Source organism: Homo sapiens, chromosome 1 (assembly GCF_000001405.40).
Source record: "Homo sapiens chromosome 1, GRCh38.p14 Primary Assembly".
Taxonomy (NCBI): domain Eukaryota; kingdom Metazoa; phylum Chordata; class Mammalia; order Primates; family Hominidae; genus Homo; species Homo sapiens.
Genome location: NC_000001.11, coordinates 60,147,274 through 60,165,204, shown reverse-complemented (window position 1 = coordinate 60,165,204; position 17,931 = coordinate 60,147,274). Strand labels below are relative to the sequence as shown.

The window sequence follows — 17,931 nt, the reverse complement described above, 5'->3', positions numbered from 1 at the left end:
TCCATCACATCACAAATATTCATTGAGTCCCAACTATGTGTCGGGCCCTATGTGAGAATCACTGCTACTGCTTCATAAAGCGGTGTAGTATCCCAGTAAGAGCACAAATCTGGTTTTGAAATCTGGAACTGCTATTCTTCAGGTCTGTGATTTTTTGCAAGTTTCCTAATCTATAAATGGACTTAATTGTGGCTAACAGTGTGGTTCTTAGGATGACAGCTAAGGAAAAACCTTGGCATAAAATTAATGCTTAATGAATCTTACCTAACCACTGCTTGCTCCCACCCTCAGACCCAATTAGCCTTAATTGTTTCACCCTCTCACCAAAACAGATCCTGGAATAACCTCTACTTGGGATTGTTAACATTTCTAGATATGGTTTAAATTAAAATAACTGCTTGTTTTAATTCTCAAAATTCAGATGTATTAACTAGATCAACTGGGCATTTTTCAAAGTATATTGCAATTAACAGATTTTGCTAAATGGTGCCCAAAATACCTGAAAATAGATGATACTATTAACACCTACTTCCGGGATGAAATACCATATTATTGAGGCTGAGACAGATTAAATGACTTGTCCATGTTAATGTTAGTAGGAGGTGGCAGAGCTATAATTCAAACTCATCATTCAGGCTCTCAACCCATGCTCTTTATACAACACCACTCTGTTTCAAGCTAATTTACACAGTGCCATGAAAAACTTGCCATCTAATGCTTAATTATTTGTTTATACTTATTAAGTGCCTACTGTATCGTGATAAAATATTAAGCCCTGGATGAATAAAAATGGTTAAAAGTAGAATTTACTCAATGTCGGCTATGTAACAAGCACAAATTTTCTATACTCATTGGATCATCTTAACGACAATGTAGGAAAGGTGCTATTGTCATTCTCACTGTATGTATACATGAAGAACCAAGGCACAGAAATCTAATATAACTTGCCTGAGGTCATACCTTCTTGCGTGGCACAAATGAGATTTGAATATAAGCTGACTCTCTCCAAAGTCCACACAGTTAGCCGCCAAGTTCACTCTGCTCTGTTTTGCTACAAGGCTCAGCACAGGACTAGAACAAGAGCTCACAGTCTAACAGGAAAGAAAGACACAGAAACAAATACCATTCAATATGCTGGGTGTTATGATGTGTGATTGTGATAGAGCCAGCATCCCACAAATCCCTGCTAGTTACTGAAGTTCCCTGAGAAAATATAAAAGACACCAACCGCATGTGCCCTGGTTATTCCTTGCCAGGGTTTTTGTCTGAATCCCTGTCTACTCTGGGGAGCTGGAATAGACCCCATGTGAAATAAGTGGATCAGAAGTGTACTTCAGGCTGGGCGCAGGGGCTCCCACCTATAATCCCAGCACTTTGGGAGGCCAAGGTGGGTGGATTACTTGAGACCAGGAGTTCATGACCAGCCTGGCCAACATGGCAAAACCCCATCTCTACTAAAAATACACAAATTAGCTGGGTGTGGTGGCACACACCTGTAATTGCAGCTACTTGGGAGACTGAGGCACGAGGATTGCTTGAGCCTGGGAAGTGGAGGTTGTAGTGAGCCAAGATCTCACCACTGCACTCCAACCTGGGCGACAGAGCAAGATCCTGTCTCAAAAAACAATAAATTAATTAATTAAATTAAAAAAAAAAGAAGGCCAGGCTCAGTGGCTCACGCCTATAATCCCAGCACTTTGGGAGGCCGAGGCAGGAGATTGAGAACATCCTGGCTAGCATGGTGAAACCCTGTCTCTACTAATACTACAAAAAAGAAATAGCCAGGAGTGATGGCAGGTGCCTGTAGTCCCAGCTACTCAGGAGGCTGAGGCAGGAGAATGGTGTGAACCCGGGAGGCAGAGCTTGCAGTGAGCCAAGATTGTGCCACTGCATTCTAGCCTGGGCCACAGAGCAAGACTCTGTCTCAAAAAAAAAAAAAAAGGAAACAGAGGAGAATGGTAATATTGAGCTTGAAATTAGTCACAAGTAACTAGTAACCCTTTATTCATTGTCTCATCCTACCCATCTGGTCCAATGTGGCCCTCTCAGTCTTAATGATTACCTAGCAAAAGGTATACCGAGGCTAAGATTTATAGACTAGCCACAGGGAAGGATAGAGTGCCCCATGGCAAATAGCATTTTGACCTTTTCATTCCTTTCATAAAGGATCATCAGACATTGCCACAGCTCTCCTTCTAGTTAAAGAAAGAAGAGCAACGATGTGCACCAACACAACAGAAGCCTGGAAAAGTGCAGTGGAAGCCCAGAGGCATAGCTACATGCATGGCTTTTGAGGAGAAAGAGCAGCTTCCAGAGCGGGAAATGTCTGAGTCAAGTTTTGAAGGATGAATAGGAATTGCCAAACACATGGGAAAGTAGAGAATTACTGACAGTGAGAATATACAGAGACACAGAATGGAGAATGGTAAAAGGTTCAGTGTGCACCTGTGTACCTGGACAGGGAGAGGCAAATGATGAGATATGGCCATAGAAGTGGCTGGAATAGATTATAAAGAATTTTCCTTGTCGGTTGAGTAGTTCTAATTTTTCCTGGGATTTATGGGAGATCTTGAGACATGGAACTGGGACAATTTATTTTAATGATACCTGTTGTGGGAAGTCAGGGACCCCAAATGGAGGGATCGGCTGAAGCCATGGCAGAAGAACGTGGATTGTGAAAATTTCATGGACATTTATTAGTTCCCCAAATTAATACTTTTATAATTTCTTATGCCTGTCTTTACTGCAATCTCTAAACATAAATTGTGAAGATTTCATGGACACTTATCACTTCCCCAATCAATACCCTTGTGATTTCCTATGCCTGTCTTTACTTTAATCTCTTAATCCTGTCATTTTGTAAGCTGAGGAGGATGTATATCACCTCAGGACCCTGTGATGATTGTGTTAACTGCACAAATTGTAGAGCATGTGTATTTGAACAATATGAAATCTGGGCACCTTGAAAAAAGAACAGGATAACAGCAATGTTCAGGGAACAAGAGAGATAACCTTAAACTCTGACCGCCGGTGAGCCAGGCAGAACAGAGCCATATTTCTCTTCTTTCAAAAGCAAATGGGAGAAATATCGCTGAATTCTTTTTGTCAGCAAGGAACATCCCTGAGAAAGAGAATGCACCCCTGAGGGTGGGCCTCTAAAATGCCCCGCTACGGTGTGGCCATATTCTATGGTTGAGACTGTAGGGATGAAATAAGTCTCCCATAGCACTCCCAGGCTTCTTAGGATGAGGAAATTGCTGCCTAATAAATTTTGGTCAGACCAGTTGCTCTCAAACCCTGTCTCCTGATAAGATGTTATCAATGACAATGGTGCCCAAAACTTCATTAGCAATTTTAATTTCGCCCCGGTCCTGTGGTCCTGTGATCTCACCCTGCCTCCATTTGCCTTGTGATATTCTATTACCTTGTGAAGTATGTGATCTCTGTGACCCACACCCTATTTGTACACTCCCTCCCCTTTTGAAATCCCTAATAAAAACTTGCTGGTTTTATGGCTCAGGGGGCATCATGGAACCTACTGACATGTGATGTCTCCCCCGGACACCCAGCTTTAAAATTTCTCTCTTTTGTACTCTGTCCCTTTATTTATCAACCCAGCTGATGCTTAGGGAAAATAGAAAAGAACCTACATGACTATCGGGGGCAGGTTCCCCGATAGAGACCAGGGATAGGAAGACAAGTCAAGAGCCTATTCAAATGTTTCAGAGCATATGAGGTTGTGAATAGACCAGAGACTGAAAATGGGGGCTATTTATAAATAATAACCTTCAGGGTTTAGTGTCAGATATGGGGAGCGAGGAGACGGGGAAAGAAGAGATGCCTCGAAAACTTCACTAGGAGAGAAAGAGAAAGTAACAGGTAGTAACACAAACAGTAAAACCCTATAAATCTCTTCTTAAAGAATTAAAATGACAAAATTTCAAAAAATACAGGCACACTTAAGCTTCAGAGCCTTGTTAAATGGGTAGGTGGTGCTAAATGTGAGTGGCAGTGGGGAAGGAAGGGAGATTTTTTTTTTTTTTTTGAGACGGAGTCTCGCTCTGTTACCGAGGCTGGAGTGCAGTGGTGCAATCTCGGCTCACTGCAACCTCCACCTCCTGGGTTCAAGTGATTCTCCTGCCTCAGCCTCCCAAGTAGCTGGGACTACAGTTGCATGCCACCACACCTGGCAAATTTTTTGTATTTTTAGTAGAGACAGGGTTTCATCATGTTAACCATGATGGTCTCGATCTCCTGACTTCGTGATCCGCCAGCCTCGGCCTCCCAAAGAGCTGGAATTACAAGTGTAAGCCATCGCACCTGGCCAAGGGAGGGAGATTTGGCTTCCAGGCAGAGCTCTTCTGTCTGAGTCCTGATGACACCCCCATTGTAGATAATAGTGTCCATTGTGGGTAGATAGCTCACTCTGAGAGAAACAAACCTGTTCTGCCAGAATGCCTTGCCAGTGGCTTCTGACTTACCTACACCTGCTCTATACTGGAATCTTAATTTTCAGGTTGGATCTACCCAGCAAAAGTACTCAATTACAAAAATGCTGGAATCTCATCTTTAACTCAAGGCATTATGAAAACAAAAGTATTACTGACAATGAGTGAACTCATTCTCTGAAATTCTAACAGCTTGTATAATAGCTAATGTTTACTGAGAGATTCCTTTGTTCCTGGCCCTGTACTAAGGGATTTATGTATAGATTGCTAATGCCGTCTTTGCTGTAATATAAGTTTGAGTTTAGGTGTCCATTCTCCTCCCAAATTTGTTTGCTGCAATTCTCCACAGAATTCCCAGCTACCATGGGACCAAAAATAGGTCCATTGGTTATTTGGGCCAAAATGTAATAGAACTTTTATGGCTGGAATGGAATGCAGTGTGGTATAATGATAAGTGTTTGGGGTTTTGAAGTTATGGAGAACTGGCTGCAGTTCAGTTCAGTTCAATTCAGTATAAAAGAGAGACTCTGAGCCACTACTACGGGAATTTTAATATACATGTATTTATTATAAGATAAGTACTGTGCATGTGAGGAGGTACACAAAGAAGAATGAAGACACAGTATCTGCTCTTAAGGACCCTATAAGTTATTGGGAAAAGATGGCACATAAATGGTAACTTTCAAAATAAATTGAGCAATATTAAGATAGTGATAAAGAGCTTTCTCTGGGGTCATGGAGAAGGAACACTTAATGCAGCCAAGATGGTTGCTGACCTACATCTTAAAAGGTAAAGAAGACAGATCAGCCAGGAATGGTGAGTCTCAAATTCCAGGCATAGAGATTATTATGAAAAAAGACACAGAAGAAGGATACATCATAGATATATGAAAAATTATAAACAACATAAAATGAAAAGCAGGGCAAAAAGCAGAGCATATTGATGATGTGAGCCTCACAAAGTTCCCACACCTTTCTGAGTCCCATTTCCTCATCACAAAATGATTATAACATTTAACATTTTAAACAATGTAACATTTAACATTATAAACAATGTCCACGTCATTGGATTTTTGCAAAAATGAAAGATTAAAAACCAACCAAGTACCCAAAATTGTGCTTATATCAGAAATTTCAAAGTGGGTAAGATATTTCACAAAAACACTTGCTCTATGGGATGCTAATGTATGCTTTATTTTAGGTTCTATGGTTAGTTATGATTCGGGAGACTGGAGTTGAACTGAGTACAAACTCTGAGCAGATTTCTTTAGAACTAAAGCTTTTAATATACTGTTTCACCGTGAACCTTTAAGGACATGAGAGAGAATATTTAGCTCTTCCAAAGCTTTTTTTCTTTTTTTCTCTAACTGAGCACCCCAAGGGACTCATGTTCCATAATCACACTGGGAAATATTGGCCAAGACTGGACCAGCATATAGGATGCTTCGGTCCATCTGACTCTTAGCTTCGGTCCATCTGACTCTTACCTTTAGAGGAATACTGTTTTATCAGTTCATATCAGTTCATCATTTTATTTGATGGCCAGAGTTTTTTCTAACCCATGACAAGTCTAAGTCTATGTCAACAATAATTCATATTAATGAAGGGTTCTATGTGTTGAGGTCTTTGGAGAGTTCCCTTTCAATCCTTTAAACAGCTGGTTCATGAGAAGGGCCACACTTTAATCCTTGACCCCTTAAGTAATTGAACTACCATCTAGATCATAACCTACCACATTATAAGTAAGGAGGCAGACTGATGTGATGGCTCTGAGTTTCGCAGTGATGGAGAAAATCACTTAGATGCTCTTCTGGGCCTCAGTTTCCAATACTTAAAAGAGGATGTTTGTTACTGGTAATCAGCAACCCTCTAGGATTCTACAACAGTGTCATATCATAGGTCAACCTAGAGACTATCAATCTGAAACACTGAATTTTATAAGGTAGGAAGCCATGGCTTAGAAAACAGAATTTCATAGTTCCACGTGGATTCTATATTCTGTAATACCTGGGCAGGAATGGAAGGAGTCCAAGCAAGAGTGGATGAGCCAAGTGGAAGAACAGTATTTCCAGCTAGCCTAAGATTCTCTGAAAGAAAATAGGGCCTAACAGTCGGCATGTGTTAAATTGAGTTGACGAAGGGAAGTGGGACTGGGAATACCTGGAAGAAAGTTATTTGCTTGAGTGAAATTCATTCAATTCAGACGACTTCCTAATCTCCACCCAGAGTTCTTCCAAAGCTATAGACCTGTATATCCAACCCAGAAGACATCTCCACCTACCGATTCAACAGACACCTCCAACTTAATGTGTTTGAAAGAGAACTTGTGTGTTTCCTCCTCTACATATCTCTGATATGGAGTTCAAGACAGTTCCCAGAGATGCTGGCAAGTCTAGGAAGGCAATTTCTTCCATCAGATTGGGCAGTCCTGAGAGCCTTCATCTAAAAGTGAACAGGAAATATTTACCAGGGACTTGGCATTTCCTTCGTCTTCAGAGCTTTCACTTGTGCTGTCTTATTTAACCCCCAATAAAAAACAACATTAATAATTAGGTGGCATTATTCTTATTTTTACAAATTATAAAAGTGAAACTTTGATGGAGTAAATGGTTACTCAAGCTTACACAGCTAGTTAAGTCTGGGAGCTGAAATTCCTACCTACACTTGACTCCTTGACTCCAAACCCTGCATTCCTTTGAGTAGGCTGTCTCCAGCACTGAGAACATCAAAGAATTGGTGCAGATGATGCTAGAGCATAGGGTTGCTGAGCTCTGTTCCTGGGGAGAGGCTGTTTCATGCTCTGTGTTGTGCTGTCTGTCATTAGTAAGCATCGTAGAAATGTTCATTGTCACTAGGAGAGAGTCATGGAACTATTGGGCAGGGAAAGAGATGTTAGGATACAGGTTCAGCAGCTGTCACATGTAATATATTAGGAGGATTTTACTTCCTGTACACATCACTTGAGCAACACACACACAAACACATACACACACACTCCCCACTGTAGTGCTTTCTCTCTCTCTCCCTCTCTGACTGGTTTCTGTGGAAAAAATGTAGAAGATATATTTTAAACGTAAAATAGAGAGCAGCTCACATTTTATTGATAACTCTCATTCACTGAGCACCTATGGTAAGCTTGTGCTCTATAAGCCAACCCAACCTAATTCTCACAGCATTCCTCTGAAATGGGTATTATAAATGGTATTTTGGAGACGAAGAAACTGAGGCACAGAAAGTTTAAAAATTGCTTGAGGTCACACAGCTAGCCAGGGTGCAGGGCTAGGAGAATGAGAATGCAAACACAGGTCTGTCAGGCTCCAAAGCCCAGGATTTCACCAGGATACTTGGCTGCCTCAGCAGGCTCACTCAGTGTGGTGCTGGGTGGACAATCTTGCCAAGAAGGCTCCTGGTGAAGAAAATTATTTTTTAAAATTACTGTTCCTTCCATTGTGTAAAAGTTACCATACACACAGCTCAGCTAGGAAAGTATATATATATATATATATATATATATATATATATATATATATCTCAAAGAGAGCTCCTATCCCTTCCCCCTGGAGCAGACAAAACCTCTAACAAATGCTATTTCATCCTGGTTCACGTGAGAGTTGTATGGGGGAAGCATGGAACATTTCTTGCTGCCAAAGACAAGTCCCAGAATTCTCACATCAGTGCTGCAAGACTGACACCATGTGGCCAAGTCAGCCTCCCGAGGCCCTCCCTTAACCACCTCCCACAGGTTGGAGGCTCACCAGCCTTCTCAGACTTTCTAAGGAAGGCACCTGAGAGGATAGGACAGCAAAGAAAGAACCAACCACCAGGGTGGGGAGCTGCTGGTAGAGTCTATTAGCTCTCTACAGAAGGCAAATACTATGCAAGTAGCCAACTACAAAACTAGGCTGTGGCACAGGAGAACAAGAAACTAGACTTTTTTTTCCCCTAACTTCTGTATTTATTTATCCCTTACCTTGTTCCAAATATACACAGGCAACTAAAAAGATGCTTTGAAGTTCCACTAGGTAATCCATTTTATAATTTGGTGGGCAAGATGAAGCAAGGAGAAACAAAATGGTAGAAATAAAAAAACCCCACACATTTGAAATGAAACAATCTAAAACATGCATAACTAGAAATGCAATACAAGGATTGTCTCTACATCTTCTACATGCCAGTGGGAAGGATGGAGGCCTCATGGTTAGTCTGAGATAAAAACAAACCATGAGGCAATGAAGAGCACAACTGTTCCTCATACTACTAGCAGAAAAAAAAATCCTGAAGTCGTTTTAGAGAGGGCAGGATGTAAAGGTCATGAATAATGTCAGTTCACAGATAAGCATAATTGGCCCAAATGATCTTTTGAGCTCAGCAAATCAGAAAGCCTGAACACTTCAACTCATCCTCTACTTTTGCATTCTTAAAATAATACAAGCTTTTTTTCTCATTATTTGCTTTGACTTTGTGTGTGTGTGTATAGAATGTTTTGTGCTTCCCCTTTAAATGATTGTCGCCAATTAGTTTTGTTTGTCTAAAATGCGATAAGATTCCATTTTAAGAAGTCGATGCTGGGCTTTTACTGAGGAACACAATAAATTAATCATTAAATCAATTGTATTGATTGAAGCTTGCAAGACATGAAAAATTGCAGAGCAAGGAATATTTCCACGAAGAGGTAGGAAAGGACCTCAGCATTCTGGGGGAAGGTAAATAAGTATGCTATGATAATACTGTTTCATTTCTTCCCTGGGATATGAGCTTCATTTATCAACTCTACAATAAATATGGTGACCATTTAATTTCAAACATTTACCGTAAATAATAGCTTCCATTTATTAAGTGCTCACTAAGCACTCTATTCTATGCTTAGTGCTTTCATACATTATGTCACGTAACCCTAACAATAAATCTGGTTGGAGCACATCTCTATCCCCATTTTGTAGAAGAGAATACTGAGGCTGATGCGCATGAGTAACTTGTTCAGAGTGACCCATCTAATGAAAATGTCTGGCTTGGAACCCACTTCTGAGTGAACCGAAAGCCCATGCTCTTAACACTGAATTCTATCTTAAATTAATAAACTAATAGAGAGAGAGGCTTGAAATTCTGCAGCATGCTTCCCTACCTTTTTTCAGGGCTGCTCGTGCCTCCTCAAAGTGTGCCAACAGTGTAAGGAAATAGAGTTTTGGAGCCAAGATTAGGTTTTATTTGGAAGAAAATGAATATTGGTTACCAAAGCCAAGGCAATGAGTAGAGTTGCAGGGTAAGAACTGAGACACCAAAAAGCACCCAATGCAAAATGCTTAGATGAGAGCCAATGGACATAAACACCAAGGCAGATAGGAGGCATAGGGTGGGGGTGGAGGGGTGTGTCAGAGTGTTTTATTATTCACATGAAGTGGCACAAAGAGCCTTTGGCAGAAACTGCCAAGGACTTTGGGCATATACAGGCGTAGTTTTCAACTTTCGAGTCCATAGCATGTACCTTAAGCACATCATTTAAGATTCTAAGCCTCAGTGTCCTTATGTATAAAATGGGAGCAGTCAGATCTCCCTCAAACTGCTGCTGTGAGGTTTAAGTGTGATAATGTATGTGAAACTCTTAAAAGGGAACATCTGGTACAGAGTCCGTGGCCAAAAAGGATGGCTCCTTTCCCCCTCTTTTACGCTCCCTTAGCAGAGCCTCTTTGAAGGAACTCCTGTACTGGACTTGGTAGAGGAGTGCGCCTATCCCCAGCTTTTCCCAACAGACCGCGTTGGCTTATCTCTTAACACCCTAAACAGCAGTCCCTCAAGAAGGTCTCTCTTGGCCTGCTACCTGTGACCAGTTACAAAAGCATAATCTGCTCGACAAGGATGAGGAGGGAAAGTGAGAGTGTTGATGGCTCCAACACTCTATTTCCTTCCACTGTGTTGACACACTGTGAGGAGACATGAACAGCGCTGAAAACAGGTAGAGAAGCATGGAAGTGAGAGATTAATGAAATAGCAATGCAGTGTTCATCAGGATGATGCCGATGGCAGGGTGTCTGCTTTATCACCAGACTCTCTGCTCATTTTCATGGGATGAAGCAGTCTGTTTTCAGAAGACCGTCTTGATTCTTAAAGAAGCAAAGACAGATGGGAACCTACTCTGGTCTGTCCTGCCACCTTCTTTTCTGGAAATAGACCCTCTTCCATGCTTAGTGCCAGAAGTAGACTTCTTTTCAGGATAATTTGCATGGAAGAACTCATTCAAATGGAAGAAGAGGCACTATGACTTAATGAAATACTCCCTCCACCAACCCCCACCACCCACACACGTACAAATCAAGTGAGGCTTTATTTTGCTGGGCAATTTCTTTCGACGGAAGTAGACTCATTGGCCAATTTAAAATAAAGGTGGTTATTTATTCACGCCACCACCTCTTGAAGAGGCCAGAACTAAAAGGAGAAGAAGAAAAGTCTCAATTACAGTTGCAGCAGCACTTAACGGCTTGCTGAGTATTCAGCTGAGATTTGAGCTTGAAATTCTGGTACCAGACACAGTTTAGGATTCTAGGGAGGAACAGGAAATGGCCTAGCTCAGAGTATTCCTTTTCACTTATTGAGTCCATTTATTTTATGGTTCTGACCACATGCCAAAACCATTTGGAGTCTTCAAGAGTTTAAATAGCAATGTCCAATTAATAAGGCATAAAGCCCTGCAGCTTCCTCACCCCCATGCATTTAGACAGCCCTTCTCCGTTCTGAATGTCTAATTGATAGGAGACACTTGCAGGCCTGTGTTTCTACATCTATGCTGAGGATGAGAGCAGTTAGAGTGGCTTCCAGAATGGGTTCCTCTGCTTGGAGGCATTTCCCAACCCTATACTGAGCAGTCATGTCAAAAAGAATGACAGTTCCTCATGGACATTGTGTCTGTGGTTGGAATAGGATGAAAGTTCTGGTAGTTTTATTTCCTTCTGAGACATTCTGGAACATTTTAGCAATGAATTTGTCTCCTGGCTTTTTTGAACTAAGAACTCCCCACATATTATTTTCATAATGAGACATTCTGCTGAGGGACTAATGAAATAGCATTGCAGTGTTCAAAGTGACAGTTAAAGCTGTTGTTTTTTTCCCAGCGATGTATTCATCCTTTGGAAATGATTATTTTTAAAAGTTCATGTTTAGATTTTATATTTTACCTTTACTTGAACAAACTGGAAAATATCTGTGTAACAGCTTTGTTCTAAGAATATTCAATTATGTTTAATGGGAGAGTCCATTAAACTTTTCCCGATTTGTTTTTGTTTTTTAACTGGTTTTAGATGATAACAGGTACTCACCACCCAATTTAGAAATAATAATAAGGTCTCTTTTTTTTTGGCCAAGTCTTTTAGTTTTGTTGGAGGGAGGAAAAGGATCTACAATCTCTTCCCTCTATAATTTGTAGATTATACAAACCCTTGTGCTTTTAATAGATGGTTCCTCATTAGACAGCACAACAGAATAAAATAACTGTCCATTATTATCCTTGAGGGGCAGGGCCAAGTTTCCCCCAAAGACATTATCATATCAAACAACTGCATTAAACGCAATGTGAAACACAGGCTTTATGGGAAACCTTTGGATTTCTCCTTCCTGCCAAAGGGGTTCTAAAAGATGAGCCCCTTTGTTATGGATGGCTCTGGCATTCCTCTAATAGGTGTACCAGATGAAAGATGACTAAAGACATTCCAGATGGAAGAGTTGGCTAACAGCAGCACCATAAATACCTGATGGATATACAAGCCTCTTGGTGTGAAATATGGTCTTTGTTCTGATTTACACTTTTACTACATATTTAAAAGAATGCTACATTTGTCAGGTGGGGGGAACGGGCATTTAAAAAAACTTTAGATTTGTGGAGAGAGGTTAAAGAAAGCCTCTTTCTACTCCTTGACTGAACATTATTATGTTTTCCTCATCAGAACCACATCTTTCTCTCCAGAAACTATCGAAAGGGGACATCTTCATTTGCCTGAACAGTTTTTTTTTATTTGCTAGAGATGGCAAATTTCATTCTTCCACATTGATTCTGAAAAATTTTGTTGGATGAAAAGCTGTAATGTTGTGAAATAGTATTGACCTGTGAGTCCAGATATAGGACTCTTTATTTTCATAAAACTCTGTGCTTACTATTGTTTCACTGTTGGCAACAGTGCTATGCCTGGGACTTAGTAGGGCTCTTAGTAAATATTTGTTGTTAAACTGAGCCTCGGTTTTCTCAGCTGCAAAATGGGAGCTAGTAATATCTGCACCATAGGGATTCAACCCCCATTCCATGAGAGCCTCTGGTGCTGTACTCCGTGCTCAGCACTTGGTTCAAGAAACCTATAGGATGGAAGGGAAATGAGTGACACCTATCAACACACATGAAGTTATCATGTATCACTTCAAAGCTTGAATTCTGAAGTCAAGCAAACCTTAGATCAAATTCCAGCTCTGCCACTTACTAGCTCAGTGACCTTGTGAAAATTATTTAACCCATCTTGGCTTCCAATTGTCAGTCAGTGAAATGTAATAAGAATAGTTCCTACTTTATAGGGCTACTATAAAGATTAAATAAAATGACGCATTTAAAACTCTTAAGAAATTGCCTGCATATAATAAGTACTCAATAAATCTTAGTCAGTATCTTGGCTGTACTTAATAAAACCAAGTGCCTAGAATGAACTCTTCACTACTTTTCCCTGATCAAATCATATCTGGAATAATATTTTTATTCTTGGATATCACAATTTAAACAGATGTTGGTACATCCAAAAAGTAATCTCTGAGAAAATGAAAGGTTTGGAAATTATGTCATATGATAAAAACGGTGGAATGACCGAATAATTTGGTTTAAGAAAAAAACCCATCACTATAGACATATTTGAAGAGAAATTCAAGTCTTAAGGAACTTTTAAGGGCAAAACAGGCACCATATGGCAGGGAGGTAGACACTTCTATTTAGAAGAGAAGTTTCTGATACTTAAGGCTTTCTGAAAATTGAATTTTCTGTTTCATGTAGAAATTAATCCCCAACCACTAAAGTTAAGAGAGTAAACATCTTTTCTGTGACATGGATGCAAGCATAAGGTAGAAGATAGGATTTTATTCAACCTGAAATATTGTGTGACTCCTCATCAGTATTAGAGGTCTGACTGTCCTAATATTATATATTGGATGGCAAAAATCCAGGGACATCCCGACTCTCCAGCTACTTAGTGGTAAATGTGTGCTACAAATTCATTCTGCTAATTCCATTCCATTTTTAGAAAGTCATCACTTTACCGCAGGCTTCTCTAAGTGTCCTTCCTCATGTACAAGGCCAACTTCTTCACATTTCTTCTCGATTATGTTATTTCCCATGTTCTTTAAGTTTAGATCTTAAATTTCTTCCTGTCTATCTTTTTGCCCCCTGTTACCTAAAACCATGCTCTGAGCTCTCCTGTTTCCCTCTCTCTTACACTTCATTTTTCATCTTCTATCTTGATCAATAATGTGTTTCTGTTGCCTCCAGTTACTCAACTCCCATTTACTCCTCAATCCACCAACATTCCCAACACTTGACTGAAACAATCCTGGCAAAGGTCACTCAGACCTTTCCTATGCCAAGTCTAATAGATATCTTCTAGACCTTCGCATATTGTACTTCCCTTATCCTTGTCTTCACAGGCTTGTATCTTTCTGCGCACCCTTATTACACATTTAAATATGCTGGAGGGATAGAGAGAGATTATCCAAACAGAGAGAACAGATTATCATTAGCATACAGGCAGGACATTTTGAGAATGTTTAATAGCAATGGCGAATGGTTCATTTTGGTTCACTTTGGCTTAAGTATAATGTTGGTGGTGGGGCATAATAAAATTTTGCAAGGGCTTAAATTCTAGCCTAAAGTATTGAGAATTAATCATATCTATAAAAAGAAACCACTTCAGGCCGGGCGCAGTGGCTCATGCCTGTAATCCCCAGCTCTTTGGGAGGCCGAGGCGGACGGATCACGAGGTCAGGAGATCGAGCCTATCCTGGCTAACACAGTGAAACCCTGTCTCTACTAAAAATACAAAAAATTAGGAGGGCGTGGTGGCGGGTGCCTGTAGTCCCAGTTACTCGGGAGGCTGAGGCAGGAGAATGGCTTGAACCCGGGAGGCGGAGCTTGCAGTGAGCACTGAGCACTCGAGCCTGGGCGACAGAATGAGACTCTGTCTCAAAAAAAAAAAAAAGAAACCACTTCATATGTCTTAGCAGAAAATTATCATGACTTTAAATGATGATATATTGGATGAAAATTTGTGTCAGAAAGGCCGTTTAGGAGGTTACCGTAACAGTCCAGACCCATTTATTTTCCCTTCACTTTCTACCTAGTGAACTGTGTTGTCTCACTTGAGGAGATGGCATGCAAAGTGAGTACTTGCTTGATGTCAGAACAGAAGTTCCCATTTTCACTACTATCATGAAAAGAGCCCTCCATGTGTGGGCATGGAGACTGGATCTCCTGGAGATGGTTTGGGGGAGGATGGAGAAAGGGCATGAAACAGCTTTGAAACGCATAATATGAATTCCAATTATCCTTCAATTCTTTTGATTTGTTTTCTTCCAGACAGAAAAAAATCATTTTGGTCCTCTGTATCTTTAGCATCTCTATAACACTTGCTAATCTTCAGTTTTAAAAAAGAAAGTACACCTCAGGCACAAAGCCTTCCAGGCACTAGACTCTATAGCAAGAATTTAATCACACTATTTTGTTTTCATTTATTTATTTTTGTTATTACCATCTACTTATGGCAAGTGAAATTGCTTTTCCATTTATGGTAGCATTATACATCTTCCTTTTAAAATGCATTTACAAAAGTAAAATTTAAGAAGGAGGGGTGTTGACTTGCAGAAAAATGGTTAAATAAAAGTAGAAGCGCTGTGCAGACATGGTGAAATATGAAAGGGAACACCAGTGAATTGAGTCTGGAAAATCATAGTTAATGTGGAATTTTGAGTCAGACAAAATTGGTTTAATGTCCAAGATCTACTGAACAATTTACTTAAACTCTTTTGGTCTTAGTTTCTTCTTTGGCAATAATGAAGAAAGTAATACCTACTTAGTAGGACTATTTCGAGGAATGAGAAGAAGAGACATTTCAAAGGTACTTAGCATGACACAGTGCTGATAACAAAGTAAACACATCATACATTTCAGTTCTGCCTTACTTTTCCTCCTGCTGACTGCTGAGATCAGCCATTGCTTCCTGTTCCTCCAGTCCCCAGTTCACACTGTAACTGGTGGGCAGGCCCTGGTATCTAATAGCTGCTGAGTGAGCTCTCTCCTTGCCAGTTTCTGCTGCTGACAGCCTGGCACAGGGCCTGCAGTCCGGCTCCCAGGGATGATTAAATGAATGGCAGCAGGTGGCAGGGACTCCCAGACATGCTTACCCTGCAGACGTCTTTCCTTCTTCTTCTTTGTCAAGAAGTAAAATCATTCTTCCTCTTCTACCCTTCTATGTGCAATGCAGCTAACAACCTGCCCTGTTGTTTGGGCCCCTGTGGAGAAATTCAGGAGCTCAAATCCGTGCAGTCAAAACAGCAAGAACCAGCTGATTTCTGGCTTCCTAAGAATTCTTCACCAGCTCTAAAATAAAATACTATTGCATCTCTTACAAGCTTGGAGAAGTCATTTAGTTTCCTTGCCTGAGCCACAATTTTTCTTTCTGCAAAACAGAGGTGTTATGATCCTGTTTTTGGGATTATTGAGAGAATGTAAAAAGATTCTAGTATAGTGCCTGGCTCCTGCATATGAAAGTTGCTCTATGGATATTCATCCTTTCTGAGCATTGCTACATTTATGGACAGAATCACAGTTTCAGAGCTCGAATTCAGAAGAATTTGGAGATTATTAAATCCTTCCTCCTATCAGAAGCAAGGATTTTCTCCATTCTTCAGGTTAAAATTTTTTACTCTCCAGCTATCTACCTTGAAGCCATTTTAGTGTCACTATTTGGCAAACTGCATTTTTTATACAGTTGATTCTAATACTGAGTCTAAATTTGCCTTCATTTATCTGTTATTCTTTCTAGAGCAAGACTGGATTAGTCTAAGTTGTAATCATTTATTCAGTGTTATTCACCTGCTTCCAGGTGGCTTCTGCTCTATTATTTCTCCAACCTCTCCAGTTCCTGTTGAGGATTTCCCGCTGCCTTTGGATTCTCAGCACCAGATGGTTTTTCTTTAACCTATGGTTGGTCCCAGGAGCCTCATTATGGTCATTCTGAAAGCAGTAGATGCAGAAAGAACCCCTAAGACCTTCAGACAAATATCTTGTATTATTCTGGGATTTCTAGGCAGTGTATAAGAGTGGTTAATAAGCTAGCATCTAAAGGGGAAGCGAAGTTCAGAACTCATAGAAAGAAGTCAGAAAGATTGAAGGAGGAGAGCGGCCTTTTGGCAGGCTGGGGAACAAACACTGAAGAGAATAAATTCAGGATAGTATGCCCAGTAAATAGACCAAAATCATATCAGGTAGAACTGGAAGAGGCTTTGAATTCACTAGCGATTTCATTCTAATATTATTGGTGAGAAAGTTGAGTGCTGCCATGGAGAAATTATATGTACAGCCATCCCATACCTGAGTTAGATTCTAATTCTCTAACACCTGACCCAGTGCTCTTTCTCCCATACTTCGTTGTTCTTTGCCCGCTCACTGCTACTCTTTCTCCTGATGGTTTCCCCCAGCCTCCAAGCCTCATTAGATTACAGTCAGTGGACCCATTTTTAGTTCTACAGAATCTGCACAGGAATTAGACATCCAACAAGGCTCCTAAAGACTTTAATCCTTAGAATCAATGGGTATAAAAATCTAGGATCTGGGAAGGAGAATTCAGATAGCCTAGTACAAATCTTTAGTTACAGAAGGGAGAAAAGGAGATGAAAAGAAAGCCCTGAATTTACTTTCCACAGGTTACACAAATTGTTACTGACATAATGATATCTGATTTTACTGAATGGTTATTATGTACCAGATGTAGTGTGCTGTGATTTTTATAATCATTTTCTTATTTATCACTCTCAAAACTCAATGAGATATGTACAATGTTGCCTGCATTTTTCAAGAAGGAAACAAAGGCATGGAGCACTGACTTATCTTACAAGAGGTTGTACAGTGAATCAACGGGTGGCAGAGCTAAGATTTAAACCCACTTGTGTTTTAACCATTACCCCAAACTATTCAGTATTTTTGCTACTCAAGCTCCCTCCAAAACAGTAGAGCACTTTCCTGTCAATACCTAAGACATAACCATCCTTTTTATTTTAAAGTCACCGAGAGAATAAAAGAACTTTACAAAGTCACACATTTGAAAGAAAATGTCCAACGTTTCACACCATTAGAGGAATATCAAGGAATTACAACCTTGGACTAGAGATGCTAAATTTGAAAAGAGCATTTTTGACTCATTTCTAAAGAATTTGAATTTACCTGGGAGCCAAATGATTAAGCCTTAAGCAAAAT

The 17,931-nt window shown here is 40.2% G+C and overlaps 2 long non-coding RNA genes across 2 annotated transcripts in view; both read right to left on the bottom strand.

The window, feature by feature from the left end:
- Nucleotides 1-17,931, bottom strand: part of LINC02778 (long intergenic non-protein coding RNA 2778) — a 144,047-nt gene that overhangs the window by 93,667 nt on the left and 32,449 nt on the right. The gene's annotated exons all lie outside the window — the stretch shown is intronic.
- Nucleotides 6,400-16,681, bottom strand: LOC107984963 (uncharacterized). The gene is made up of 3 exons (XR_001738092.1): nucleotides 16,552-16,681; nucleotides 15,861-15,968; nucleotides 6,400-6,890 (listed from the first exon to the last, which is right to left on the bottom strand). It is a non-coding gene; the product is annotated as an uncharacterized LOC107984963 (long non-coding RNA).